Source organism: Homo sapiens, chromosome 1 (genome assembly GCF_000001405.40).
Source record: "Homo sapiens chromosome 1, GRCh38.p14 Primary Assembly".
In the NCBI taxonomy this organism is placed as follows: domain Eukaryota; kingdom Metazoa; phylum Chordata; class Mammalia; order Primates; family Hominidae; genus Homo; species Homo sapiens.
In genome coordinates, this window is record NC_000001.11 from 168912474 (window position 1) to 168929955 (window position 17482).

A 17482-nucleotide genomic window follows, 5' to 3' on the forward strand; every position below is an offset into this window, starting at 1 on the left:
CCTTCAGCATTATCTCCTTGCACTGTTTTCAAGGAATTAAGGAGCTTCTTTGTCCCTTAACTCTTCAACCATCTAAGATATGAATAATCATAATATACTTTACTTTCTGAAGCATTTTGTGGATCAGGAAGTCCTTTTATATGAATTATCCTACTCAAGCCTCATGAGAACCCAGTGAACTAAGATTTCTTATCCCTTTTGTACAATGGGAAATCTTTGGTTCAGAATAAGTAACTCACCATGAGCCTCTCATTGGTCAATGGAGCTTTACAAACCAAAGACTCTTTGGATTTGCTCTGTTGCCAAAGAAAACTCTGAAGACCGGTTGGTGTGAAGGTTCTTGCCAAAAAATTTAAAATAAAAATGAAAATTTAACACATCTGACTTTTCTTTTCTGTTTGTTCCTCATACATTAAATATGATATTTAACCAATTATCTCAACTGCCTCTCAACTGCAGAAAGTTAACCTTTATATGGAATGTATTTTAATATTTTATCAATCCAGACCTAGCACCAAAAGATGATTTTATAAATTATTTCATCTACTACATCCTTATTTTCCTTCCACAAGATGGAAATTAGCATATTAATCACTGCTAACATTTTTTGAGGATTTATTATTTAAAGGCACTATACTAAGTGCTTTTACATGGATTATCTTGTTTTATCCTTAAAACAGCCTCATGAGGCTGAATATTTATTATGCCCATCTTCTTTTTTTTAGACAGAGTCTCACTCTGTCTCCCAGGCTGGAGTGCAGTAGTGTGATCTCGGTTCACCGCAACTTCTGCCTCCTGGGTTCAAGCGATTCTTGTGCCTCAGCCTCCCGAGTAGCTGGTATTACAGGCACCCGCCACCATGCCCGGCTAATTTTTGTATTTTAGTAGAGACGAAGTTTCAAAATGTTGGCCAGGCTGGTCTCAAACTCCTGACCTCAGGTGATCCACCCACCTCGGCCTCCCAAAGTGCTGGGATTACAGGTGTGAGCCACCACGCCTGGCCTGTGCCCGTCTTCTAGATGAAGAATATGAGGTCTTAAATGAGTTAAGAGATGCTCAAGTTTTCATAGCTAACGAAGAGGTGGGGCCAAAATTCAAACCAAGACACTTCATTGCCAAACAGTGTCTGTGCTCTTAAAGTCCGATGCCTCCCTACCCCAAGACTCCCTCCGACAAGCAGCAGGGTTCCATAAAAAATAAAGGCAGTCTGTGCAATCCATGCAATCTCAAGGTTATGTGTGCAATTACTGATGGGGGTATAGGCATAGAACATCACACACTTCCTACCTTTCAGCTAGGATGACAATTTCAGTCTACTTCACAGGGATTTAGAGTACCATTGAAACTGCTTCTGAAGATACGCACTCTTCATATTCAGAGGGAGCCCCAGCCCCACTGTGTTACTTTACCAGTGAGAGAGAGGGAACAGCAAGTACCTTCCAGGAGCCTGGCAACTGGCCAGCCTGTGATCAAGACCCTAGATTGGCAAGATTTAAAAGTGCAATCAGTCAACATGGGGGGAGGGAAAAAGCTAAGTGGTCCATATAGGAATCAAATGCACGAATCTGGCTTCATTAATATGCCTCATTAATTAATCAAACAAACTCATCAAAACTGCATTCAAGTTTATGGGCAAATCGAGTTTATGGGCAAAAAGGCAAAGTCACCTTGCAAGTCTTATAAAAGAGAAGTGCTGTTCATTTGCTCATTTTATTATATTGTTTTTCAAACATCATATCAAATTGCCCCTGGTGTTGAAAGGAGGCCTTGCCTGGAATGCTGGTGGCCCAGGAGGCAACCCTGGAAGGAGCCTGCCCTGACACTCCTGATCCCAGCCCCTCCCTCAGCACCCACTGCTGGGGCAGTTGCCAACAGCACTGTAAATCCTGGGGGCTCTCAAAAGAAGAGAGACAGGAAGATTTTTGACATGATTCTGAAAAAACTATGATCCGGTTTGATAGATTTTAATTTCAGTTTAACATGGACCCCAGTTTTAGATGATCTTATTACATGTGCTCTTTTCAAAACATAAAAGTTAAAAATGAACCTTTAAAAAATCCCACCATCATTTTCACAAATAGCTTGCAGCAATTTGGTTATTGTTTTCCACCTCCAAAGGGCACAAAGCAATTACTCAGAGGGATAATTACAGGGATAGAAGGCATTGAGGAGCTGAGCCTTCCACCTCCAAATTCCGTCTCTGCTGGAAACTAAGCAATTGGCTCATAATTGCCAAACTCAACTAATGGGCATGAGAAGCCCAATGTCATTCATGTTGGGTATAAATGCTGAAGACATTAATAGCATAAAAAGTAAAATCTGATTTTTATTCACGTACTTGTGTTTTAAAGATACCATAAACCATTCACTGACTTATTAGGGAGGAGGGACATAATCCATTAGAAAATAGAGAACAGAGCTTTGATATCATAAAAGCACCATTCTTCCTGTAAGGTTTGAAACTTGAGTCAAAATCCCAGCTGCTGATCTCACTTTGTGCTAGTAGCAACAACCCTCTGAGCCTCGGAGTTCCCATCTGTGAATCCCAGCCATAAGATGATGTTGTTGTGAGGATGACATAAGAAAACATAAGGAGATGTGCCCAGCACGTAGTAGGGCTCCACAATCATCTTTTGAACCTGAATCTGAATAATGTAGGTTGCTCACTTACAGGGATGAAAGGGATGAAATCTAGGCCACTAAATCACAATATGACATGCAGAAAAAATAAACTTGACTAGGTAAACTTTGATGTCCCACTATTGAAAAGATCACAAGGCATTTATTGGTTTTAAAAAGAGAAATAACACATACATTACTCTGTGTGTGTGTGTGTGTGTGTGTGTGTGTATATATATATATGTATATATATATATAAATATAATAAGACCCAGACAAATGTTCTGGAAAGTCCAAGCTCCCCTTATATATACAGTATACAAGGAAAATCTGTAAGAATTCCAGAATGATTTAACGGAATTATCTCAGAAAATCAAAACATCTAATATACCCAGCAATCATTTCAACATGACTTCAGGGTCCAAACACCAAAAAACTGTGTCTCAGCCCAATGCTAAAATCTAGTCCTGCTTTGTTTTATGTGCTTGAAGAAAAGATGTGTAGTATGAATCTCTATACAACAACTGATATTTTGTCTGTTGTTACTGGGGAGTTTCTTCCTTAAAGTGACACTATGGTAAACCTTTTTGTGGAAATGATTATCCCTTATTTTATCTTTCGTGTAAATGTGGGTCTTCCAGAACCTCATCTGCTCCTGACTGCTCACAATTATCCCTCAGGAACTCAGGAACCCTGAGAATGGAGAAGGAATCAACATGAACCATAACTCAGGATAGTATCTTTGGGAAGAGTCTGGCTCTCAGGATCTTACAGACTCAGGTTTGAGTTCTGTCTCTGACATGCACAAGCTGCATAAAATTGGATAAGTGACTTAGGCAACATCTTCTTCAGCTGTAAAATGGGTATAATAATCATCTAGACCTAATAGTTTATAATTTAGATTCGATGAGACTATACCTGGGAAACCCTGAGAATAATAAGTGTCAGTAAGTGTTAGCTGTTGCCATCATCCTCATCTTGGCCAATAGACACTGAGAGATCACCTCACATTAGCACTTAATCCATGTAACCCTTTTGCTCTTCACACGGCCTCCAATATTTATAGTCCATATCAAGCCCATTGAGGAGTGTAGCTTTCAGACCCAGTCCTATAACACTATCTACTTAGAGAAAAGTGAGAAAAAGAAGGGGAAAAGCTACATGACCTTCTCTTCCTTCTCCCGTGACATCTAAAGTGTCCATAAAAGTCACAACAGATAATAAAAAGTACATGTTGATTGACAAGTTCCTTGAATTTCACTGATTTCTACAAACCCAGAAATCAAGAAACCACGTTTCCTGTAGAAAACACTCATTCCACAAAGATGTCACAGGTACCAGAGAAAAGCAGAGAGCAAGGGAATTAATTAATTAGTTTCAGTTAGGCACCAATCAAATAATACCATTATCTTCCTACCTAATAGCCTGGGACTTAATCACGAGCTACTACTGACCATAAATATTCATATTGGCATTTGAATTTCACATAACTGACCTTTTATGTGAAGAAGTCAAGCTTGATCAAGACTGTAGGATACTAATGACATGCAGTGGAAGAGGACACATGAAAAAATATTGACAGAACCTTCCCACAAAATACGAAACCAGCACAGAAAAGATTTAAAGGAGGTAAAATAATACCTGATACTGGACTGAGCTGGCACCATAGAGTCTCTCCTCTCCTCAGCTCCTACCACACTCCACTGAAGGTAGGATTTAAAAAAAGAAAATTCTTGTACCTTCAAATCTTTTAGTCAGTTACCTTTGTTGATGATAGGGCCGATGATGGTTAGCTTGGCCTATGGGCTTCCTGCACTGTCTGCTGCTCTCTTTTGGATTTGGAAATCTAATTTGAGTCTCAGGAAGCCCTTATGAGGACCAGGGCAGAGCCAAAAGTGAGAAAGTAGGGAAGGCTGGAAGGTCAAAGGAGAGATGAGGAGACCTTTGGGGGAGGTGTCCTCCCAGGGTGTCCAGTACCTGGCAGGAAGGTGGCAGAGGAGGCTGGACACTGCTCATTCTTTCATACATAAAAGGGGCTTTTATTAACTATCTCTGTGTAAAAACTATTCCAGACACTGTGGAAGTAAAGATGAACAAGACCTGGCCCCCATCCTTAAGGTTATCATTATGTATAGGGGAAACCAATCACACACACAAACATGCATCACTTTTATACAATGGGGTTTCATGTGACAAGTGCTAAATGTGAGATGTGAACAATGTCTAAGCGATTCCGGAGGAAAGAATGCCTTAAGGGTATTGGGGGTGGTCAGGAAGGTGTCTCCAGGAAGATCATATTGTGGTCTAAAGGAGCATGAGTTTGCAAAAGTACAAGTTGAGGTGAGAGTACAGGAAGAGGATAAGTACTCCAGGTGGAAGCACCAGCATAAGCCCAGGGCTGGAGATAAGAGGCAATCCTGTGAGGATTAGTGCCCCTGAAGAGTGAAGTGGGAAAGACATGTGGAGGGGAAATGCAGGGAGATGTCTGCAGGCCAGATCACAAGTAACTAAGGGTGCCCTTCCTAGTGTCTGTATATAGGACAGAATTTCTCCCCAAGAATGCATTTGGCCAGAATGTCTCTTGTGCTCTAATATCTCTCAGGAACATGAGAATTTGAATGGGGAGGAGAAGGAGGAGGAATGCCCCACAATTAGGGCTTCAATAAAGTGACATGTAGTTACAAACAGGAAGAGAAAATATGGCATTTGCTCTTTCAGTTGATTTTGATCTGAAGTCTTAACACTGTCTTAAGTGAATACTATGCCCTCTAATTTTCTGAAATTGCAAGGTAAATGTTTAAGATGAAAAACAGGGAGTTAGTCCTTTTTTTATTTTTTTCTGAGCTTAACCTTAAGAGTGAAAAAGAGTCTGCCTTCACATCACACCCGCGCAGATCTCTGGATTCATAGGATGAGCAGGGCTGCTGTACTAATCACATTTTCTTATTGCAGGATGCAGAGCTACATAATAACTGGTGAGTAACTTCACATTGAGGAGTTAGGTTTCAGAGCTGGCTCTTAGGGATCTGGGATAAAAGCAACTCATAGTCCTTCACAGGGTCTCCAGTTACTGGGAATGGGCAAACCTTGCTGAAAAAGAGGAAGGAGGTATGTGGGTGTCAACCGGTTTGCAGCTCTGAAGCCACTGGATTTCTCAGCTCCTGCTTTTCTTCTTCCTCCTCCACCTCTTCCTGCCCTTGCTTCTCCTCCATGAACCCAAGCCCCTGCCCCATCACATGGCTAAAGAAGCAGCTACAAAATAGGGACAAATTATCATTAAATTAGCGAGGGAAAAATTGTACATTTGTCTGTTCTAGTGAAATTTTCCCCAAAGGGCTCAAAAAGATCTGGCAAGTGCTCCCTTCCTGCCGCAAATAGGTGGGAGTGTGTGGCAGTTCCACGTCTACCACATACTAAGCACTTACTACAAGGCTCTAGGCATTGTTAATGCTTTAAATAGATGTCTCAGTTTAACCATCTCTTCAACCCTACAGTACTATTGTGACCATTTTATGGATGAGAAAATGGAGGTACAGAAAAGTTAGGGGCTTCCCCAGAGCTCACAGCTAGAAATTGGTGGAGCCAATATTTAAATCTTGGCAGTCTGTCACTAGAACCCTGGACATCTACCACTGTATTATAAAGCCTCCCAGACTCCCAGAAATATGCCCATGAAATCTCCTAGATGCTGAAAATGGACCAAATCTCACCAACGCCTTTTGAAGGCAAATTATTCAAATGGATAAATGTGGATTACTATATCTTTAGGGTTTTTATTAAAACTTGCTTGACTGTGTATAAAATATTCAAGACACATATGAAAGGTAAGAACAAGTGGCCATGTATGTGGTATGTTTATTCTTCCTACACACCAGTGCTCCAGCTCTGAATATCTGAGCTACTGGACCATTGTCCACTTTGACCTTGAACAATAGGGAGATCCTTCTAGCCATGATTGTTCTTGAATCACCAAACTCCTCCTTCTGCCCTTGCATAATGTGCCCTGCCCTGCTGACAATGAATGCCCTGATGTACTAAGTCACAACACTGAATATTCCTCTGTCCTCATTTTTTTCAGCAAACAGGATGAATATCAGCTCCAGCAGAATGCCCACAAGGTTGTATGAAATTTAGCGAGAGAAAATTCTAAAGTAAATGCTGCAGAATTCTATTATACAGCACTGTTTCCAGAGTGCTCAGCATGTCACATTGCCCTGTAGAGCTGGGAATGCAGAAACAAAGGCCTCCAGTGTTATTTCCATTTGTAAGAAGACTGAATTAACGTTGCTAGGGAAACAAAACCTCAGTTTCCTATTCAATTTACTTTCAGCTTATGTGTCACACCTCTTGCAGCCTCGGTGAAACACAATAAAGGAAGAGAACTACAGTTCTTTTATTAAAAGCTCTTAGCGCACATATTTCCCAGGTAAAGATAATCCACAGGAGGATAGATTTGGGCAAATTTCATCATAAAAGTGATTCAACTCCACTAGATTTCGCTATATGGTGGGGGGAAGATTACATAAAAAGATGCCTGTGTGCATTGCTCACTGTACCTAGGAACACCTGACTCAGGAATTGCATTTGTCTCAATTTTCAGTGGTCACAGTTACAGCCTAAAAGTCTTGGAACTTGTGTATAACTTATAATGTATATATAACTTGTGTATAAGTTATAATGTTTATAATGTGTATAAGTTATAATGTGTGTATAACAATCAAAGAGAGAGAAAATTGGAAGAAATGCAGTAATGAATGGGGTCAGAATGGTGGATAGAGGGTAGGAAAGCAGGAAAAGAAGAAAGAAAATGGTAGAATCAGCTCAGTAGTTAGTAATGGACCACAAGACTTTCAAGAGGGAGCTGATCAATTGATTCTGATGTTGTAAAACATATAGGAGAAATGGGTTACGGCTAACGCAAACCAAACCAAATATCAAGGATGATCTGGAGAGAGGATATGGATCACACTTGGATGAGGCTGTGTCTGCACAAGCATGGGCTCCTCCTTCCTTTGCCGAAATATGCCGCCATCTTAAGAGCTAAAACCAACAAGCTTTCTGCTGACTGCTCAGATGTTAGTGTCTGCACACTTCCAGGGATTTGTCAAATCCTAGTCTTAATTCATCGTCAGTCCCCAGGGTTCATGAAGTGGTCCATGTTTTCCAAATCTCAGTTCAAACATCATTTCCCAAGGACATCTACCCCAACACTGCAGACTAGATTCAATCCATGCTACGCATTCTCAAAACGTGGCTATCATTTTCTCCAATTTACTCACAGTTAGAAGTTACGTATTTCTGTGATTTTATTTATCTTTCTCCTTTATTAGACTATAAGCTCCTTGAATATAAGAAGTGTGCTTGTTTCTGCTTAGCATTGTGTCCTCAGTTCCTACCCAGAATCTGGCACATAGTAGAGTCTCAGCTAATATTTGTTCAATGAATGAATGAATGTGTACTAATCAGTTATGACTAAAAGGTAAACAAATCACCCCATGATGACTAATGATACCAAGCCTTCAAAGGCCAGCAGGAAGTCACAGAATCACAAGTCAACTTCTGACTGAGCTCCTTTCCTAGGGAAGCACACACTCCCAGACAGAAGTAGACCATATAAAATTTGGATCCATCGTGAATGTTTAATTGCAGCCTTATTTTCCACATACAATGTCAGTATTTGGCTTGCCTTGTATGACCATGGGAGGCTTTCAGAATTAGTTTCTGAATAACTTCTTAAGGTTGTTTGTTATATTGACTTCAGCCAAAGATCATTGGTATTTCCTGAGACCGGAAAGATTTGGGCCTTGTGCGTAAACAACATCTTGGATCAGGCACGGAAATTTCAACAGTACTTGGCAATTTCCTAGCAGCTTACAACTGCTGATCCCGCCAACACAGGGAGTTTAGATGCAGTTTCCTCGTCCTTCTAGTTTCTATAAATGTCCTTCCTGCAGAAAGCAAGTGGCCAGAGGCACAGAGAATAGTGATGTACTCAAGTTCTCCTTCTGCGGCAGAATTAAGAATTAAATCTAGCTCCAGTGAGGAAGCAGCAGACCATGCATTCAAGACCAGTTACATAAATGGTTTGAGTCACATTATTTTTTTATCAAAAACTGTTTTATTCATTTGTACTATTCCATTTGTAATATCTAGGTAAGTGGGAGATGGGAATGTGTCAAGAAACAAAGGCTCTGGGGGGTACCACAGAATGCCCATGAGTAAATCTGTAAGACTCCACTGAGTAAATCTTTAAGACTCCACTGATAACTGTTCCTTTCATCAATATCAGGAAAAAGGTCACCAAGAAAGACATGGCTCTGAGGGATCCAGAAGCCACTGGATCTTCCCAAAATGAGAATTTCCTCAGAAAGAAGCAGAAAGAGGCCCAGATTTGAGTCAGAGGGATCCAGATATGAATACTGGTTTTGTCACTGAGCTATGTGACCTTGGGCAAGTTACTTCACCTTTCTGAGCCTCAGTTTCCTTATTTTAAAAGCAGAATAATAATATCTGCCTTCCATCACTGTTTCAAAATTAGAACTAGCTTGAAGAGAGACTCCAGACTGCTATCTGGCTTGTAATAAGTTCAACTGTCATTTCACTGGCCATCTCCAAATTGCCCTCACCACTTCTCCATTTTTCTTTGTTATCATTCTGGACCATGCCGGGTATCCTTTATTCATGCTACTGTTTTTCATGTAGTTTGCTGAACTTAGAAGTGTCATTTTCTTGGCTTTAATATCTATGATAGTAATGACTTGAATTACCTATTAATTGTATTTTGTGGTCTCATGACACGAGAGAGAGCAAAAGCGAAAGTGAGAGAGCTAGAGAGAAAGAAAGAGAGCAAGTAAGGGCAAGCAAAGTCCAGAGACAGCTACATAAACCATATTTGATTATGTGCATCTGTCAGAAGTAGGCCAGACCCATGGGATGATCAGGAATAAGTGCAGCTGGAACAGAACCTAGATATCTTTCTTCTGGTCCCTCGTCACATTCACTCCCACTTCTCTTTCACTCCCCGCTCCATCACTCCAGATTTGGTCCCTCTTCTTTATGATCCCAGCCTTCCACCACGACAACTTTAATGAACTTTGGTCCTGGTCCTCATGCCTGTCATCATCTTCTGTCTAGTCGAGAGTGGTTCTCATGTGCTCTCTGGCTCTGTCCAGGCCCAGCATGTCCCTTCTCAATTGAGCCCACTTTGGCTTCCAGTGTCTGTCCTTTCCACCTCTCCTCAATAGGTTTCCTAAATCCACCACTGACTCAATGTAGTTCAGGGCCACTGTTCCTACTGCCTCTAGTTTTGTCTCCTGACTAGCTCATTCTTCCTTTCCATTTCCTCGAGCCAGGAGGGCCAGAAAAGTCTCTTGTTAATGATGTTTGCACACTGCAGGGTTGATCGCCACATGCCACCACAGACCTGACCAAATGTGAACTTGACTTAGATCTTGCATGGGCTATGCAGGTATTAAAATCCGGGCTCCTGCCATCAAGCAGCTTACATATGATTGGCAGATAACACAGACATGTTAACGATATAAAGAAAAAACAGCCACAAAAAGTCTCATTTGAATTTGAATAATGTTCTCAGTAGATCATTATTTATCTGAGAGAGAAGGCACCAAAAGAATCCAACAAAAAAAATGGCCTAACTGGATTATTTTTATGATTACTTAATTTCAAATTTATACTAATATAATGAGTAAAATATGATTTGCTAAAGTACAATGCATAGGGAAAACAGAATCTGCTGAACTAAGAGTGACCTGTCAGTGATTCCATAAAGACCAACTTGCATAACAGAGACTGGATGACACAGAATTTAAGGTACAACTGCAAGGATATTGTAACAATCTTGATGGCGATCAATAAGTTGATGATTCTTTATTGTTTATATATCTCAAAAATAGCAACTACTTTAAAGCACTGAATTTCAAGTATACACACACAGAGCTACACATACACATAACATGCTAAGTCATCTTTTGTCAATCATTGTACTTTTTAGAGTTATATATTTCAAACTTCAAAAATATTAGGTAAAACTCACATTGTTAACATTTGGATAATGGCATTTTCAATGAACAAATAAGGGCTATTGATCAACAAAAAAAGCATATGATTTAAATAACTGAATTGCAAAATTGAGAAAGCACATCAACTTTGCATATTAAGGATATGTAGGAAAACGTATTCATAAAGTATCTGCATCTGTTTCAAAGGGGAATGCTTAATTAGAATGCAATGACCTCAATTGATCACCCAGTTTAAATGGTTCAGGATTGTGTCCTAACTAAAAGCCGCCATGGTAACTAAAAGTGAAGTCAAACAGCTGCTCACTCTGTTGCCTAACTTTGTTCACCTAGTTAAAAGTTTTCATGCTAGATAATATATTTCCCACATTTTGTACTTATTTTTAGTTTCTAGGAAAAAATGTAGAGGCATTCTGGCTTTTTTCCTGGTACAAGTCATAGTCCATTTGTCATTATGGTTACAGATAAGAAACATCCAAAACAACAAACAAACAAACAAACGAAACCAGATAAGAAACATCCCAGATATTTCTATGTAAGTCTAGACATCTAGGTGTGCTGAAAGACACTTCAAATTTGAACATTTCCTCCCACAATGTTTGGTCTATGTGCATTAAAATCCAGTTGAGCAAATCTTTATCTCAAAGCCTGCTATTTGGAGAATCTGACCTGAAACAAACATCTATATATTTTTTCATAATTGGGGGAATCCCAATATGAGTGAGAGATAAAATCTTATTTACAAGAACAGACATTATCACCCTTTACTTCCTGTCAGCTAGAGTGTGAGCTCATGCCTCTGAAATTTGAAGGAATGACCCGGAGGTTCAGGGTCAGAGTTACAAAGTTGAGACCCCAGTAGTGAGATCACAAAGGACGCATGGTGACAATGCCAACCAGCAGTGATCTAAGAGGGTAACTCCTATGGCATATCTTTGACTATGCTTCATTTCCTTTGGCTTCCATCTATGCCTAGTCTATTATCCTTCAAATGGAGGTATGGGATATTATTCCTATAAATTTATATTCCACTTAAGTTAACCAGATTAATTTCTGTTTTATTCACTAATAGAATCTTGACTCCCACAAAAATACTAGTAGAAGTTATTGCAATTTACAGAGCTATAGGATAATGAAAGAGGAATGGACAAAACAATACATGGAATTTGTTATGTAGCTTATTTGCTGACAAAGGCAGTGAAAATATAGCTAGCATTAAGGGATGGGAATACTGATGCTCTTGGCACAGATTGATAGCATGACTAATGAAATTGTGACCTGTGATTTGATGATATTAGGGAATTTGTGTTCAATATGTTAGGTATAGTCATGGTATTGTGTTCATGGAAGAAAATATTATTGCTTTAAATATGCATATTTCCATATTTGCAATGAAAAGCCATTTTGTCTATAAATAAATTTGACAATATATTTGTAAACATTAAACATAAGTGGTGTATGTACATATTTTATTTATGCTATTTTCTCTAGTTTTTATGTGGCTGAAAATGTTTAAAATAGAGATTCTGAAAATTATTACTTGTGATTACCTGAGACGATCACAAACCAGTTGGAAGGAGGGGAAACAAGTATCCATTGCCATAGAACAGTAAAAAGTGTCTAAAGAATTGAAGGATGAAGTCAAATGACAATATTATAACCCTAAATTATTAGTTAAAATTATAAACAATTATAGGGACTAATATAATTTTGTAAAATTGCCTCTAATCTCTTATAGCTACTTAGCTAAAATAAATGAATAATAAGCACTAAGTTCTACCATGCACATTGTTGAATTACATCCATTGAGTTCACAGATTTCCCAGGCCTTTTTCTGAAAATGTGGACACTGACAGAGAACACATGAAATGCCCAAAATTGGAATGGAGCACTAATGGGGGGTTTTGGAGGACTTGGAAAATCAAGAACCTACAGCTTCCATTTAGTTTCCTCTCTCAATGGAAGTAGCTTCTCCCTTGTCTCAAATAATTACCCCTGCCTTTCCCGAGGACCCTGCAACTCTCTAGTCTGTAGAAGTTAATTTATAATTGGAAGCTATTTCTCTTCATGGCTCATTACCCCACCCTTCACTTTCTCCAGAATCCTAACTAGAATCAGATTCCCAGTGTGCCCCAAATCTGAGAAGATAAAATCTATGTTACAATAATTGCAAAAATTGTGTAAGTTATATTAGGAAAGACATGGTTTATATATGTGCTAATTTCTGGATTCTGAGAGTGTTTGACTAAGAAAGGCATTGCAATTTAATTAACTGAATTTATTAATATAGGTGCAGTAAACAGATTTTTAAAGTTAATACACTAGTTCAAGCTGCTGGATCTTATTTTTTCTTTTCTTTTTTATTATTTATTTATTTATTTTTTTTACTTTAAGTTCTGGAATACATGTGCAGAATGTGCAGGTTTGTTACATGGATATACATGTGCCATGGTGGTTTACTGCACCCATCAACCCATCATCTAGGTTTTCAGCCCTGCATACATTAGGTGTTTGTCCTAATGCGGTCCCTACCCTTGCCCTCCACCCCCCAACAGGCCCCAGTGTGTGACGTTCCCCTCCCTGTGTCCATGTGTTATCATTGTTCAACTCCCACTTATGAGTGAGAACATGCAGTGTTTGGTTTTCTGTACTTGTGTTAGTTTACTGAGAATGATGGCTTCCAGCTTCATCCATGTCCCTACAAAGGACATGAACTCATTCTTTTTTTATGGCTGCATAGTATTCCATGGTGTATATCTGCCACATTTTCTTAATCCAGTCTATCATTGATGGGCATTTGGTTTGGTTTCTTTCCTAACTGACTCAATTCTACATTCAACATTGGCCACAGGAAATAAAGTTGATATTTCATAAATTTCTTGGAATGTTATTAAGAAAGTTATCCAGAGAGACTTTGAAAGACTGTTGAAGTGAATTTTATCATCCACTGACCCTCATACCCAACTATGACCAGTCCTCAAAATACTCCCATTACTAAAGCCTTAAAAAATATATTGGTGAAGGGAAACCCAGCGTCTTTATAAAGTGTCCAAGTTGTTCTCTGTAGGTGAGAGATGCTGAGGTTGAAATGAGCTCAGTGATTTCAACACGGATTGAAAGACTCAGGGTGGAACTTCACCACCAGATATAAGGTGTATATTATTACCAAAATAGATTGCTTGGGTCAGTATGGTAATTAGAATGATCTCACTCAACAGCCACAGTTCTCAAACCATATACTAAGATGCCCAGGGCTCTGCAGCAAAGTCACAGAAGTGGCCCAATATCTCGTAAATGTCAAAGGAAAACACAGTGAAATATACTGCATGTACTACTAGCTCAAGATAGTTTACAATTTCCACTTTAGATCATGCCACATTCCTTTCAGTAACATCATATCTTTGAAAAACAGGGTTTTGGTGGCTGCTGTGGTAAAAAGTAGATACTGACATGAAAATTAATGTTGAATAGAAAATAAGGGTGGTAGTTTTTAATGTGATTCCCCGATTTAAAAAGATAAGTAGTGCCTAACAGGTATATATATTCCACAAGTAAGAAATTAAAATTATTTAAAGATAAAACAAAAATGTACTCTTTTCTTCCAATTTGTGTGTCCTATGTTCTTCATGTACACATCCCATTGGTAAGTAGTTGAGGTTATTTAAGAATAAAACAAAAATACTTTTGTTCATTTTATACATATTTCTTTATATAATCCACAAGTTATTAGGACATAAATATGTATGAAGTTGTTTTAGCCCAACTACTTAATAAATGGAACTTTCAGTTACTTAATTTGACCTAGAGGCACCAAAAAAAATTACTGAGACACTATGGACACTAAGACTGAGAAAGTTTGGAAATCTCTATCCACGGATATCTTAATGATGAGTTCATTACTGTTACTAAGAACAAACAACTTTGTTTTCTTTTTCATTTTATTTTATTTTATTTTAAGTTCTGGAATACATGTTCAGGACTTGAAACTCTGTTACGTAGGTAAACGTGTGCCATGGTGGTTTGCTGCACAGATCAACGGAACACCTGCATGCATCAAGCCCTGCATGCATTAGATATTTATTCTGATACTCTCCCTGCCTCTACCCACCCCTCCCCACCCCAACAGACCCCAGTGTGTATTGTTCCCCTTTCTGGATCTGTGTGTTCTCATTGCTCAGCTTCCACTTATAAGTGAAAACATGCAGTGTTTGGTTTTCTGCTCCTGTGTTAGTTTGCTGAGGTTAATGGCTTCCAGGTCTATTCATGTCCCTGCAAAGGACACCATTTCTTTCCTTTTTACAGTTGTATAGTATTCCATGGTATATATGTGCTACTTTTTCTTTATTCAGTCTATCATTGATGGGGATTTGGGTTTATTCCCTGTCTTTGCTATTGTAAATAGTGTTGCAACGAACATACACGTACATGTATCTTTATAATAGAATGATTTATATTCCTTTGGGTATATACCCAGTAATGGGACTCCTGGGTCAAATGGTATTTCTGGTTCTAGGTCTTTGAGGAATCGCCACACTGTCTTCCACAATGGTTGAACTAATTTACATTCCTGCAAACAGTGTAAAAGTGTTTCTATTTCTCCACAGCTTCGCCAGCATCTTTTGTGTCTTGACTTTTTAATAATCGCCATACTGACTGGAGTGAGATGGTATCACAATGTGGTTATGATTTTCATGTCTCTAATGATCAGTGATGTTGAGCTTTTTTCATATGTTTGTTGGCTACATAGTAGACACAATAAAAAAATGATAAAGGGAATATCACCACTGACCCCACAGAAGTACAAACAACCATTAGAGGATACAATAAACACCTCTAAGCAAATAAACTAGAAAATCTAGAGGAAATGAACACATAAATTCTGGACACATATACTCTCCCAAGACTGAACCAGGAAGAAGTTGAATCCCTGGATAGACCAATAACAAATTCTGAAACAAAAAAAAAAGCCCAGGAACCGACAGATTTACAGCTGTATTCTACCAGAGATACAAAGAGGAGCTGACACTGTTTCTTCTGAAACTATTCAAAATAATTGAAAAGGAAAGACTCCTTCCTAACTCATTTTATGAGGCCAGCACCATCTTGATACCAAAACTTGGCAGAAATACAACAACAAAAAACATAAAACTTCAGACCAATATCCCTGATGAACACTGATGCAAAAGTTCTCAATAAAATACTGGTAAACCAAATCCAGCAGCACATCAAAAAGCTTATCCACCACGGTCAAGTTGGCTTCATCCCCTGGATGCAAGGCTGTTTTGACATATGCAAATCAATAAATGTGATTCATCACATAAACAGAACTAAAGACAAAAATCACATGGTCATCTCAATAGATGCAGAAAAAAGGCCTTTGATAAAATTCAACATCCCTTCATGTTAAAAAAAACTTTCAATAAACTAGGTATTGATGGAACATACCTCAAAATAATAACAGCCATTTATGACAAGCCCATAGCCAATATCATACTGAATGGGCAAAAGCTGGAAGCATTCCCCTTGAAAACAGGCACAAGACAAGGATGCCTTTTCTCACCACTCCTATTGAACATAGTTTTGGAAGTTCTGGCCAGGGAAATAAGGCAAGAGAAAGAAATAAAGGATGTCAAATAGGAAGAGAGGAAGTCAAACTGTCTCTGTTTGCAGATGACATGATCCTATACCTAGAAAACCCCATTGACTCAGCCCAAAAATTTCTTAAACTGCTAAGCAACTTAGCAAAGTCTCAGGATACAAAATCAATATGCAGAAATCACAGTCATTTCTATACACCAACAACAGATAATCAGAGCCAAATCATGAATGAACTCCCATTCACAATTGCTACAAAGAGAATATAATACCTAGGAATACAGCTAACAAGGAAAGGGAAGGACCTCTTCAAGGAGAACTACAAACCACTGCTCAAGGAAATCAGAGAGGACACAAACAAATGGAAAAACATTTCATCCTCATGGATAGGAAGAATCAATATTGTGAAAATGGCCCTATTGCCTACAGTCATTTACAGATTCAATGCTATTCCCATTAAACTAGCATTGACATTCTTCACAGAATTAGAAAAAACTACTTTAAAATTCAAGTGGAACCAAAAAAGAGTCCACATAGCCATGACACTCCTAAGCAAAAATAACAAAGCTGGAGGTACCACAATACCCCACTTCAAACTACACTACAAGTCTACAGTAACCAAAACAGCTTGGTAATGGTACAAAAACAGACACACAGACCAATGGAACAGAATAGAGATCTCAGAAATAAGACCACACATCTGCAACAAACATCTGATCTTCGACAAACTTGACAAACGCAATGGGGAAAGGATTTCCTATTTAATAAATGGTGCTGGGAAAACTGGCTAGCCATATGCAGAAAATTGAAACTGGACCTCTTCCTTATATCTTATACAAAAATTAACTCAAGATGTATTAAAGACTTAAATGTAAAAGCCAAAACTATAAAAATCCTAGAAGAAAATCTAGGCAATATCATTTAGGACATAGGCATGGGCAAATATTTCATGATGAAAATGTCAAAAGCAATGACAGAAAAAGCAAAAATTGACCAAAGGAATCTAATTAAACTAAAGAGCTTCTGCACAGCAAAAGAAACTATCATCAAGTGAACAGACAACCTACAGAGTGGGAGAAAAATTTTGCAATCTATCCACCTGACAAAAGTCTAATATCCAGAATCTACAGGGAACTTAAACAAATTTACAAGAAAAAAACAAACAACCCCATTAAAACATGGGCAAAGGACATAAAAAGTCACTTCTCAAAACAACTTGATTTTATTACATT

At 38.6% G+C, this 17482-nt stretch overlaps 1 long non-coding RNA gene across 1 annotated transcript in view, besides 1 other annotated feature; it reads right to left on the reverse strand.

The window, feature by feature from the left end:
• LINC00970 (long intergenic non-protein coding RNA 970) overlaps positions 1-17482 on the reverse strand; it is a 183101-nt gene that overhangs the window by 8569 nt on the left and 157050 nt on the right. The gene's annotated exons all lie outside the window — the stretch shown is intronic.
• Positions 9363-9532: an enhancer, noted in NCBI's record as "active region_2062". NCBI's record gives its function as "activates an Ori minimal core promoter by ATAC-STARR-seq in GM12878 lymphoblastoid cells {active_cell/tissue: GM12878}" and the evidence as "EXISTENCE:reporter gene assay evidence [ECO:0000049][PMID:35858748]".